General features: G+C 42.6%; 1 protein-coding gene and 2 long non-coding RNA genes across 6 annotated transcripts in view, besides 4 other annotated features; 1 reads left to right on the forward strand and 2 right to left on the reverse strand.

Moving 5' to 3' along the window:
• LOC102724687 (uncharacterized) overlaps positions 1-13,043 on the reverse strand; it is a 233,269-nt gene that overhangs the window by 219,389 nt on the left and 837 nt on the right. The window lies entirely within an intron of this gene.
• Positions 1,101-10,491, reverse strand: RRS1-DT (RRS1 divergent transcript). Its single transcript, NR_040434.1, has 3 exons — positions 10,456-10,491; positions 7,556-7,691; positions 1,101-5,296 (listed from the first exon to the last, which is right to left on the reverse strand). It is a non-coding gene; the product is annotated as an RRS1 divergent transcript (long non-coding RNA).
• Positions 9,917-9,986: an enhancer, noted in NCBI's record as "active region_27478". NCBI's record gives its function as "activates an Ori minimal core promoter by ATAC-STARR-seq in GM12878 lymphoblastoid cells {active_cell/tissue: GM12878}" and the evidence as "EXISTENCE:reporter gene assay evidence [ECO:0000049][PMID:35858748]".
• Positions 10,177-10,266: a silencer, noted in NCBI's record as "silent region_19252". NCBI's record gives its function as "represses an Ori minimal core promoter by ATAC-STARR-seq in GM12878 lymphoblastoid cells {active_cell/tissue: GM12878}" and the evidence as "EXISTENCE:reporter gene assay evidence [ECO:0000049][PMID:35858748]".
• Positions 10,407-10,776: an enhancer, noted in NCBI's record as "active region_27479". NCBI's record gives its function as "activates an Ori minimal core promoter by ATAC-STARR-seq in GM12878 lymphoblastoid cells {active_cell/tissue: GM12878}" and the evidence as "EXISTENCE:reporter gene assay evidence [ECO:0000049][PMID:35858748]".
• RRS1 (regulator of ribosome synthesis 1) lies at positions 10,528-12,247 on the forward strand. The gene has a single exon (NM_015169.4). The coding sequence runs from the start codon at positions 10,646-10,648 to the stop codon at positions 11,741-11,743; it is 1,098 nt and encodes a 365-aa protein (NP_055984.1). The 5' UTR covers positions 10,528-10,645; the 3' UTR covers positions 11,744-12,247.
• Positions 12,046-12,095: an enhancer, noted in NCBI's record as "active region_27480". NCBI's record gives its function as "activates an Ori minimal core promoter by ATAC-STARR-seq in GM12878 lymphoblastoid cells {active_cell/tissue: GM12878}" and the evidence as "EXISTENCE:reporter gene assay evidence [ECO:0000049][PMID:35858748]".

Below are 13,043 nucleotides of genomic sequence, written 5' to 3' on the forward strand. Positions count from 1 at the left end.
TGTGATGGTCACAGTCCTCCCCATCTGGACAGGAAGTGCCTCCTGGAAGAGGGATCTGGGAGGCACATCTCTGCATCTAACATAGGAGTAATCTACATGGAATGACAATTCAACTGACAGATTTTTTAGCAGCAGCAAGAAAACAAAACAAAATAAAACAAAAGATAATGGGATAATATCCTCAAAGAACTGAAAAAAAACAAAAAACAAAAAAGAAAAACTGGCAGCCTGGATTTCAAATCCAGCCAACTTACCATTCAACAGTGAGGGTGAAATAAAGCCACAGGAACAAAGACTACAAGTGTTTACTACTAATTGACCCTCACCAACAAAACTACTAAAAGATGTGTTTCAGGAAGAAGGAAAATGAACCAAAAAGGAAGGGCCGAAATGTAAGGAGTGATGAGCAAAGAAATATATAACCATATGTCCAAATTTCACTATATAAAATAGTGTTTTGAAGATGATTAATCTGTAGTGCCTAAAAACAAGATGGAACTAAAACTCAGGAAAATAGTAGTGTTTATGAAAAAGAGTGTCGTCAGAGTTAAACCATTCAAAAATTCATATATTTGATAGGAGAAGGGTAAAGTTGTTTAACTTTAGATTTAAGTCAATTATGCTGTCAACACTTAAAGGATCACCCCAGAAGGATAGAAATTTCCAAACCATAGGAAGTTAAGGTTAAAATGTAAAAGAAAACTCAAGCGAGCTATTAAAATGTAGGAGCAGAGGAAAAAATAGAAATAGAAAAGTCCAGGTAGACAGATAGCACAAAATAAGATAGAAATAAATTCAATACATCAGTAATTACAATAAATATAATCTAACTGTATTAATTAAAAGTCAGATATTGGCAGTTTTCATATAAAAAACAAATCAACAACAAAATTCAGATATATATTGCTTAAAGAGACATATAGCTAAAGCAAAAGGATGCAAAGAGGTTGGAAACAAAAAAATGAAAAAAGATGTACCAGGTACACACTAACCAAGAACAATATAGCTATAGTGTCATTGAAAGCATTTTCAGGAATAAAGATGTTCGCTATGTTATAATAAAAAGATAAAAGGAAAACACCACCAGGAAGATTCAGCAATTCAAAATGTTATGCTTTTAATATTAGAGCATCAAATACAGAATGGGAATTTATAATCAAAGTAGAAAGTTTCAACACATCTTTCAGTAACTGATAGATCAAGAAAACACAAAATTAGTAAGAACATGGAAGATTTAAATAATAAAGTTAAGAAAATACCATTGTGGTTATGTCTTCACTGGTCTAAAACCTTCCATGACTCCCTATTGCCTATAGCATCAAATTGAAATTCTTCTTCTTGATCCTAAAGTTGCACCACAGTTGGCACCATCCTGACCATTTGCCAAGCCTATTTCTTACCTGTCCCCAATACAAATCATCTATTCTAGGCAAATCAAATTGCTAGTGAACCAGAAAGAAGAAGCTTTATGATGTAGTGTTTATGTGCATGGACTCTGAGATCGGACTGCAAAGGTTCAAATCCTGATTCTACAAACTATTAACTGCATAGTAACTTAATAACTTAATCTTTATGACCCTCAGTCTTCTCATCTATAAGATGAGGATATTGATAACATCTACCTCTTAGGCCTGTTGTGGGATTTATAAAGACAATCAGTGACTGACATATTATACTTGCCATAAGAATTAGCTACATCCCTTTATTCATATTGTTACCATCTACTGGAATGCTCCTTTCCTTCTCCTATCTATTAAAACTCAGGCTCCAAAGCCAACTCAGGAACTTCCTCTTTCATAAAGCCTTCACCAGTTACTCCCTCCAGCCTTCATTTATCTCCCTCTCCTACAATACAGTAGTTCTTAACCTTGTGAAAGAGGGATAGGGAGTCACAGATGCCACTGAGAATCTGATGGGAAAAAATCTTCTATTCATAAAAATGCACATGCATACACACATTTGCATAAAACTTCAAGGGATTCATGTCCCTCTGAAGCTCACCCATGGAACCCCAATTACAAACATCTGACTTCAAGTCTATGCTTCACCATCACCTACCCTGTTCTCCTGAGGCCATCTTAACAAAAGTACGGACAGCTAACAAGGAGCTGGAAGAGGCACAGAGAGAAGCTGGTGAAGCTCACTTCATACATAAGGAAATTCACAGAGAGATAAAGTGACTGGCCAAAGCCATATACAACTATGGAGTGACAGAGATGGAGCTGGAGGCTGTCTCCTGACTACCCCTATAGAGTTCTTTGCAAGTGTGCTTGATGAACTAATCTCCAACTCACAGAACTCTAAAACTAAGAAATCATGTTAGCCCATTTTTCAGGTGGGGTGATGATCCCTTAGGGAATTTGTCTCCAGGTAATCAGGCCAAAAGTCCCAAGACTCATACTCAGAATAATAATTACTAAACATACTAGTAGTGTTTGGTTTTTGTTTTCTTTTACTTTACTTCCTTGTATTAACATTTCCTCACTAACTTTCTCTGAAGCAATATCAAACTAGGAAGCACAAACCTGTCCCAATGTTATTATTTGGGGAAGGTAATTTTGAAGCTGTCTTTAAAACTTGTCTGTAACTGTAACAATCAAAGGACATCATCAGTTCTAGATCTTGAGCTAGAAAAGAGATAGTCAATCCACAATCTTTCCATTCTCAGATTCAACTTTATAAACATAAATATTTTATAAATATCTCCTCTATCTTCTTCTCTATGACATTTTTCCAGAACAAGTAACAAACAATAAAATGGACTATACGCTGCCCATTCTCTCTTTAAGGGCAAGCAAAGAAAAAAGAAAAGAATTACAAATAAGCTATGAAACACAATAATCAGCCTCCACATAATTAAAAACTGATTGACATCTGTATAGTCACAGACTCCTTGTGCACACAGGAAGCTGTTTCACTAAGTGAAATCATACAATCAGCCTAGGAAATGAGATAAATGACTCAGAAAGAGGGGGAGGTTTGTAAAATGAGATATACTGGAAAAAACTTTAATCAACAACTAGGAAAGAAAGCACTTTATAAGAAAACAACATTGGAGCACCTGAAGTATGTAGGTTTGAAACAAAAGAAAAGGATCATAGAGATGAATTGCAAAGGCCACCTCTTCAAAACCCTTCATTCTCAAGATAAATAAGGGGAAGCCTGAGACCTAAACTTTGTTTCCTTTGAAATTCACAGGCTTTCCAGGGAAGAAAATCCAGGATACACCATAAGAAGTCAGCTTCCTCAGCTAAAAATTCACAGTATTTTGGATAATGAGGCAAGGGAAATAAACATTAGGAAATGCAAGGAACATTATTTATACATTCTAAATAAGTCCTATTTAGGCCTGGGGGAAAGCACCTATGCTACAAGCAACTGAATCTTCTGCATCCCCAAGCGGCCCAGGGAGCTGACAAGACTGGTGCACTCTCAGTGGCTGACAAGTACACAGTGACACCTACTTGCCACTAAGAGGTTCTTTCCTTTGCTGTCTTCCTTTGGCAAATAAAAACACTTCAAAAAGGAAAAGTGTAGGCTACAGAACTGACCACATATGTGGTCAGAGTTTTGGTTTTTCTATCCATTGTTTTCACTTTTCACGGATGTGTTCTAAAAAATAATGGGTTAATAATGTTTAGAAATAATTCATGGTTAAGAAGGGCCAGGAATTTGTGTTTATTCGGCATAATCACAACTTCATAACTTCCCTGTGTATTCTTAATATTGCTCTAGTGGGAAGTTTAAAAGAAAGATTTGATTGGCAGTCACTTCATTTAGAAAGGATTGATATTTCATACATGGTCTATGACTACAAAGGCAAATTGAAGGCTGCATGGCAACAAGGTTGCTTTCCTTAGGGGAAAGGTATTCCGGACTCAGCTGCCTCGTCTGGAGTAAATCTACTCTAAAGCAATTTACAAAAACTGTTCAGGTGTTACTGATTAATAAAAACCTAAAAGGATTTTTTACTCATTGTAACTTTAAATTCATAAATTAAAATGTAATTAAAATGATAGATTAATAAGCAGATCTAAATATTCTGTTATTAGATTCTTTGAGTGCAAATATCCCTAAAATTCTGGAAATTCAGCTTTCCATTTTATATCAGTCTTTCATCCATGTAGCTGATCTGCTTATAGAAGTAAAATCTAAAGACCAATACCAATCTCATTCTCTTAGGATACAATGATGATGTTTTATGAATAAAAACTATCAGCTAGTGGTGCTTACTTACAGGTGGTAATAAGATTGTGGCAAATGCAAAAAGCTGCATCTAGCAATTTTTGGAAAATAAAAACCATTGTGTCTTTTACAGCATTGGAGCTCAGAAAAACAATGCCCCAAAGTAAGGTGCTTTGATATGCTGAGTACTTTGAGCCGAAGGATACTGGAAGGACCCTAGAAACAAAGTCTCTCTCTGGGCTTCTCCTGCCCTCCTGTCTCCTGGTCCCCCTTCTACCCTAAGGCAGGCCATAGAAATCAGAATTCCTCTGCCCCACAGTGGGTCATAGAAACTAAACATATTTCTCTCAACTTCCATTGCCTTTCTGCATATGAGCTGGCCATAAAGAAATTCTCTGGTCTACCTTGTCTGATAGTAGATCATAAAACCCTTATTCCAGAAGGGGTCCTGCTCTATACCAGGGAGGAAGGAATGCCACACAGAGAGGCCAAGAAGAATCCAAATAGTCAGGCCTTGCTGGGTTGTTCCCCTTCAATCTATTACATTAGATTATTTCCTTTTTGTCCAATCCCATTTTTACATGGTTGTCCACTCCTCATTGAATCTAAGCATAAAAATGGACAGTTTTCCCTTGGGTCTTTGAGTCTTCATTGTGAATGCTTCCGTGTCACGCAAAATTCTGACTGAATAAATTTGCCGTGCTTTTGTCTTGTTAACCTGTCTTTCATTATAGGAGTGTCAACCATGACAACCCCCCTCCTTTTTCTTTCTTTCTTTCTTTTTTTTTGAAATGCTCCATTGGCCAGGCTGCAGTGCAGTGGCCCAATCTCGGCTCACTGCAACCTCCAACCTCCCAGGTTCAAGCGATTCTCCTGCCTCAGTTTCCCAAGTAGCTGGGATTACAGGCGCCCGCCACCACGACTGGCTAATTTTTGTATTTTTAGTAGAGAAAGGGTTTCGCCATGTTAGCCAGGCTGGTCTCAAACTCCTGACCTCAGGTGATCTGCCCACCTCGGCCTCCCAAAGTGCTGGGATTATAGGCATGAGCCACCACTCCCGGCAGCCATGACCCTTTTGAGGGCTGAGGAAAGGTATCACAGCATTTTCACCCTGCAACAGAGACCAAAACAACTTAAATCAGTTCCAAAAGTCTACCATCAATTTTACTATCCTAAAATCCAAAGTTCTTTATAGGTGAATGTACAATATTTCGTCGTTTTTCTATCTGCTTCTACATTAACTACACAAAATGCTGTATCTTCTTTGTTCCTCTTTAAAATAAAATAATAAACTTTTAGTACAGGTTTCTCACTAAGACTGAAATACATAAATACAAGTTTTGTCTATGATTAAGAAATTTTTTTCTTTTAAGTACTTCCAAATTAAAATCTCAAATCAGTAAAAATGAGCCATGTGGAAATAATGTAAGCATTTCAAGGGCCCTTTTCTCCTATTTTATCAAATTACTGGCACACTGAATTTCCTAGACAAAAATACTTTTATAAACTATGCTCACAGCAGGATTAAAGAATGGTTGAATCATCCCTAACAATTTCCGCTACCAAAAAGAGGCAACTGAAAAAACAGACATTTAGAAAGTAAATCCAAGTTAATGTGGCATCAAAGAATGAAAAGGAAATTTCTTACAAAAATGTTTTACTGACCAAAGTAGTTATGTTTTGAGGGAACATGAAAGGTATTGCTTTCATGGCTTTAACCTTCTTATTCCTGCTTTGGGAAAAACTCTCCCTTCCAGGTTCACTTTACAATAATTGCTGCTTTTTCTGCCCTGCACCTCACCTCACTTTTCCCTTTCTTGAGGAATGTTCTTAAGGCTCTAGAGAGAGCTAAGATAGAAAATAAGAGTGGGAAAGAAATACTTGGAAAACAAGCATAAGGAGGACTATCATGACATGTGACTACAAAAAAAGTTGCTTGGGGCCAGATCATAAACATCCAAGACCAAGAATAGTCATTATTTCATTAAGGAGAAAGGAGGGTCTTTGAGAAGAGTGATTTGGCCAGATGCACAAAAGGTAAAGCTTCAGGACTGCCCTGAAAAGAGTATGGAAGCAGGAAATGTTGGGATGCTCCTAGGATGGTTCCCAGGATATCAGTCAGGGCAGCAAACAGGCAGTGGTCAAGCTGGGTAATTTAAGAAAGATAAACAAAGAATACTTGCAGAGATGTGGGCAGTTTAAGGAAACTGACAATAACGGTAGTGCTGCATTAGCAGAGAACTATAATCACTCCTAGGCCTGCAGCAACCAAGGGAGCAGCTAGAGGAGCAGGAGGAAGATGGCTGCGTGGACAGGGCTACCTGATGGGAGCTGTGGCCTTTTGATGGACTTTTGATGGCAATCTGCATGCGTGCCCTCACTCTCTTCACGCCTTCTGATCTTCTGTCACTGCCCCTGCTGGCCAAACCCAGTTGGAAGCCAGGGACAGAGTGGAGAAAGAATATGGAGAAGCAGATGAAAGAGATCCAGTCTAGGAAAATAGTGGCAAGGTCATGGCAGTGGGAATGGAAAAGGTACAATATAGAGATAAGCCAAACAAGACTTTTACATTGATTGGATTTGGAGATAGGAAGAGAAAAGTCAAGGATGATGTCATAGTTTCAAGCCCAAGCTCTAGACTAGAATGATGATAACATCAACTCAATGTCGGCATAGTGCCTCAGGCATCAAAGGCCTTCTATAAACATTTCCTGGGAGAAAAAGAGGGGAGGGATGGACGGATGGATGGATGGATGGATGGATGGATGGATGGATGGATGGATGAAGGAGAAGCAAATCTGGGAGATGATGATATGTTATGTCGTTTTAGCCATATTGAGTTTAGAATATGGCGGAAAAGCCCAGTAGGTAGTTGAAGATTAAATCCTAGAGCTCCGAAAAAGAAAGAAAAATGTACCTGTAAGAACCAGCTGCACAAAAGTGGTAGCTGGCACCATGCAAGTGGATGACATGTCACAGGGAGCACATAGAGAGAAAAAGTGGGATCTGATGACCAAACTTAGGATCTCTCTGTATTTACGGGATATAAGGAAGAAGGGAAACCAACAAAAGAAAAAGACAATATATACCACCATTTGCTGTACTATTAATATATATTCATATATATTTATACATCTCTGGTAGGCCTCCTTTTTCTTTTTTTAATGAAGGAGGTTTTTATTTATTTATTTCAGAATCAGGAGATGCTCTGTTGCCCAGGCTGCAGTGCAGTGGCACCATCACAGCTCAGTGTAACTTCAAACTCCTGGGCTCAAGGGAGCCTTCCTCAGCCTCCTGAGTAGCTGGGACTACAAACGCATGCCACTACAGCCAGCTAATTTTTTTACTTTTTGTAGAGACGGGGTCTCACCATCTTATTCACGCTGGTCTCAAACTCCTGGTCTCAAGGGATCTTCCCGCCTTGGCCTCCCAGTGTTCTGAGATTACAGGTGTGAGCCACCACGCCTGGCCAGAGCCTGCTTTCTCTGGGCACTGTATAGTCTTGCCTAAAATAAGAATGATACAAATGCAACCTGGAGACCACAACTTACCCACTTACCTCAGTAAGATTTTTTTTAAGCCCGAAATCCCAATCTTACTGTTTTTGCTCACCTTGAATCTAACACAATCAATAGTAATAACCTTTAATTAGATAACCCTATAGTGTTTATGCTTTTAAACAATCATTTTGTTGAATGCCTAATATGTGCCCAGCACTATGTGGAAGTAAAAATCAGTCTCTAGTCTTCAAGGAAATTAAAATCAGTTTAGACTATAAAAAACCACTGAATATGGCTGGGCAAGGTCGTTCACGCCTGTAATCCTACCACTTTGAAAGGCCAAGGTAGGTGGATCACTTGAGCTCAGGAGTTTGAGACCAGCCTGGGTTACATGGCAAAACCTGGCTCTACAAAAAATACACACACACACATGCACACAAAGAGCCAGGTGTAGTGGCACGTGCCTGTAGTCCCAGCTACTTAGGGGGCTGAGGCAGGAGGTCCACTTGAACCCAGGAGGTTGAGGCTGCAGTGAGCCAAGATCGTGCCACTGCACTCCGGCCTGGGTGACAAAGTGAGACCCTGTCTAAAAAAAAAAAAAAAAAAAAAACACTGAACATAAAACAGAGTTCAATTAAGAGCTGACCTGTATGATCCAGATCATACCATTTAACACTTGTCAACCTATGCTCTTTTTTTCCCAATTCAGAAGATTGACAGAGAAGCTAACTCCTACATAACTGGTACTTCCTATTAAAGGTCCAATGACGTTACATTATATAGTCAATTTCTTTTTACCTTTCTTCCCCAGTATTCCATAAGGTCTCAGTTATCTTTGCACCTAGTGTCTGCCACATGGTAGCCATTCAATTAAATGTTTGTCAAGTGAATGAATGAATGAGAAACCAAGCCAAGCCCATAGCAGTCATATCAATACACTCAACTCTCTCCTATGGCAAATCCCAAAGGTTTAAGGCTCAAGGCAGTTAGCTAATATGGTCTTTGACCTAGCCTTGGCTACATGGGATGACTGATGTTAAAGCCTTGATGCTGAATGTTAAAGTAGGTTCAAGGGGAAAAAAAAAACAGCAAATTCTAAAATGCTTCTGGATGAGAAAGGCTAGCACAATGCTGAAACTAAACTGAGTCTATTTGCTAATTGCTATTAAGTTAATTTCATTGGTTAATTCTCCAGCATAACCCCCTCTAGGATAAACCTGGCCCCCAGTGAAAGGAAGATAAACCCTGTAAACCACGCAATCAACAGTGCCTCTGATACTCAAATGTACATCCTAGTCACCTACAGATCTTATTAAAATAAAGGTTCTGATAAATTACATCTAGAGTGAGGCCTGACGTTCTGCATTTCCAACAAGCTCCCAGGGGATATTATGCTGCTGGTATGCAGACCACACTTTAATGAGTATCAAGAGCTTGGACGACATTGCAGAGAATAGATCTACAGACTTAAAACCAGAGTTAAGATATCTCTTGTTCTTATATTCCCTAACTGCATAACTTTAGATAAGTCATTTCACCTCTCTGAGCCCTCCTTGTTTCATCTGTGAAAATAATATAGTTAATACAATAATTAATAACATAGTTAATACTAATAGCTAACACATACTGAGTTCTTACCATGTAGCAGTAACTAATGTTTTATGTTTGTCAATTTATAAATAAGGCTTAGATCAAACATCCTCTCCAAGTAATGGTGACCTGATACCTGATTGTAGGCCGTTTGACTCATACTTAACACCATGTAGCACTTACCTCCCAGAGCCTATGAAAATGAAATAATAATCGGTATTTGGCTAATTTGTACTGAGTACTCATACGCTCCAGGCCCTCGTCTAACCCTCCCTTGGACGATATTAACTCATTTATCTTATAACCACCCTAGGAAGTATTATTATCATTATCTCGCAGGCCTTAAAACGGCCTCAACAAGTAAAATTGCTGAAGGACCAACAGTGGCACAGTCAGGATTGGAACCCAGGCAGTGTAACTGCAGAGCGTGGCTTAGTTTCAGCACTGTACTAGATTAATTGAACTAGACTAGGTTCTGTAACTGCAGAATCCCGGATCTCCGAGTCAGCTAGCTCACTAGGGTCGGTGCACACCCGCGCCCACTCGGGGTGGCTTCATTGCCAGAGCCACTGACTCCCAAAACAAAACGAATCTTCTACAATTAGCTCTATGTGTATCTTTGGGATGTTATCTTTCTCGGGCCACAACTAGGAACCCTGAAAGCCGACTATGACTCCAGTGAAACTATTTGGCCCTAAGAAGGGTGATTGTCTAAACATCTTCACAACGGATTTACACTGAAATTGTAACACGCACTTGATTGGAACCCCACACCACAGGCAGTCCCAGGAATTTGTACCCGCCCCGGTCCCGGACCGCGCCCCTGGACAAACCCTCCGGCCCGCCCCTCCGGATTGAGCCCCAAGACTGTCCCCGGACCACCATCCTAAGACCACTCCCTGAACTGCCCCCCCCAAGACCGCCCCCTAGATCGCCCCCCGGGACCGCCCTCTCTAGACCGCCTGCGAGACTGTCCCCGGACCGCCCCCTGGACCACCCCCTAGGCGGCCCCCCGAGCTGTCCCTGGACCGCCCTCTAGACCGCCTCCCGCCCCCTGCATCCTGGGAATCGTAGTCCCAATCCTGCTCTGGAACTAGCAGTGCGGCCTGCTCGGGCCAGCTCCGCCTCTATCTGGCGCCAGCCTAAAGGTCCCGCTTCTAATCCCATCATCTCTCCATACCGCCCTCTGCCGGCCTTTCCTCTGGTCGCCCGGATTGCGAGCCGCTTCCGGACGCTCCGGAAGCGAACCTTTCTTTTCCGGATTGGGCATCCCGGCATCTGCACGTGGTTATGCTGCCGGAGTTTGGGCCGCCACTGTAGGAAAAGTAACTTCAGCTGCAGCCCCAAAGCGAGTGAGCCGAGCCGGAGCCATGGAGGGCCAGAGCGTGGAGGAGCTGCTCGCAAAGGCAGAGCAGGACGAGGCAGAGAAGTTGCAACGCATCACGGTGCACAAGGAGCTGGAGCTGCAGTTTGACCTGGGCAACCTGCTGGCGTCGGACCGGAACCCCCCGACCGGGCTGCGGTGCGCCGGACCCACGCCGGAGGCCGAGCTACAGGCCCTGGCGCGGGACAACACGCAACTGCTCATCAACCAGCTGTGGCAGCTGCCCACGGAGCGCGTGGAAGAGGCGATAGTGGCGCGGCTGCCGGAGCCCACCACACGCCTGCCGCGAGAGAAGCCTCTGCCCCGACCGCGGCCACTTACACGCTGGCAGCAGTTCGCGCGCCTCAAGGGCATCCGTCCCAAGAAGAAGACCAACCTGGTGTGGGACGAGGTGAGTGGCCAGTGGCGGCGGCGCTGGGGCTACCAGCGCGCCCGGGACGACACCAAAGAATGGCTGATTGAGGTGCCCGGCAATGCCGACCCCTTGGAGGACCAGTTCGCCAAGCGGATTCAGGCCAAGAAGGAAAGGGTGGCCAAGAACGAGCTGAACCGGCTGCGTAACCTGGCCCGCGCGCACAAGATGCAGCTGCCCAGCGCGGCCGGCTTGCACCCTACCGGACACCAGAGTAAGGAGGAGCTGGGCCGCGCCATGCAAGTGGCCAAGGTCTCCACCGCCTCTGTGGGGCGCTTTCAGGAGCGCCTCCCCAAGGAGAAGGTGCCCCGGGGCTCCGGCAAGAAAAGGAAGTTTCAACCCCTTTTCGGGGACTTTGCAGCCGAGAAAAAGAACCAGTTGGAGCTGCTTCGTGTCATGAACAGCAAGAAGCCTCAGCTGGATGTGACTAGGGCCACCAATAAGCAGATGAGGGAGGAGGACCAGGAGGAGGCCGCCAAGAGGAGGAAAATGAGCCAGAAGGGCAAGAGAAAGGGAGGCCGGCAGGGGCCTGGGGGCAAGAGGAAAGGGGGCCCGCCCAGCCAGGGAGGGAAGAGGAAAGGGGGCTTGGGAGGCAAGATGAATTCTGGGCCGCCTGGCTTGGGTGGCAAGAGAAAAGGAGGACAGCGCCCAGGAGGAAAGAGGAGGAAGTAATAGTTTCTAACTGTCGGACCCGTCTGTAAACCAAGGACTATGAATACTAAATGTTAAGTTCTAGGCAATTATACGGGGACTCAGAAGGACCTGGCCGCTGCCTTCATTGAGTTTAAAGGGACAGGATTGCCCTTCCGTCAAGAAAGTATGTAAGTGTTGGACTGCACAAATTAATGTTTTTCCCACAACCGAGACTTTGGAGATTAAGAACTTATTTGAGGATTTAAGAATTAGGGAAATAATTTGGTGGAAACCGGGAATGAGTTCTATTCTTAAACAGCCTTTTTTTTTCTTTTTAATGTTGGATATACGGCGAGGTAGAGTTGGCCATATTTCAGAGACTTAGATTGACGTATATGTTTCTGCATTATTTTTACAACAAGTTTGTGTATCAGAGCGGGAGTGCGGGGGAGGGAAAGAAAACAAACAGTTTCAGAATTGAATAGGCAAGTGACTGTTTTAAAGATTAAGTAATAAAGATGTCTTATCTAGTGTGACTTTTAACTTTCTGACTACTGGGTAGAAATTGTACTTGAAGCCGGTTACCTGGATACCTGGTACAGATTATTTTTGTTTACTTTCTGAAAAACACAAAGCAGGCCGTGCGCAGTGGCTCACTCCTGTAGAGTCCCAGTACTTTGGGAGGCCGGGGCGGGCGGATCACCTGAGGTCAGGAGTTCGCGACCAGCCTGGCCAACACAGTGAAACCCCATCTCTACTAAAAATAAAAAAATTAGCCAGACACGGTGGCTGGTACCTGTAGTCCCAGCTACTTGGGAGGCTGAGGCAGGAGTATCGTTTGAACCTGGGAGGCGGAGGTTGCAGTGAGCCCAGATCACGCCACTGCACTCCACTCCAGCCTGGGCAACAGAGGAAGGGGCCATCTCAAAAAAAAAAAGCAGTTCAATTATAATGGTTTCAGTGATACCACTTCTAAACTTATACTTCTTTTGGTATCAAATATAATATTCAAAGTAGTAAAACTGATGTCTGTTTTTTAAAAAGATTTTATGCCTTTCAACACTGAACACATGGATTTCCTGTAAATGATCAATTTGGGCTTCATTGACTAATGGTAATAATCCTCATTAATCCAGAAAACACTTAAATCTTTCTCTACGTTTATATCCCCAGTTGTTTGTGTGTGTGTGTTTGTTTTTAAGCTTGACGTCAGGTATAGTTTTGTTTGGGGGAAGAAAGAAACAGACCCATAAGATCCTTAATTAGGACATTATTATCTTTTTTTAAGTTCCGGAGTAGATGTGCAGGATGTGCATGTTTGTTACATAGGTAAACGTGT

The sequence above is a fragment of the Homo sapiens genome, chromosome 8 (assembly GCF_000001405.40).
Source record: "Homo sapiens chromosome 8, GRCh38.p14 Primary Assembly".
Taxonomy (NCBI): domain Eukaryota; kingdom Metazoa; phylum Chordata; class Mammalia; order Primates; family Hominidae; genus Homo; species Homo sapiens.

Excerpts from the sequence above, each read along its gene's own strand:
- RRS1 (NM_015169.4), top strand. The coding sequence starts at position 10,646 with ATGGAGGGCCAGAGCGTGGAGGAGCTGCTCGCAAAGGCAGAGCAGGAC.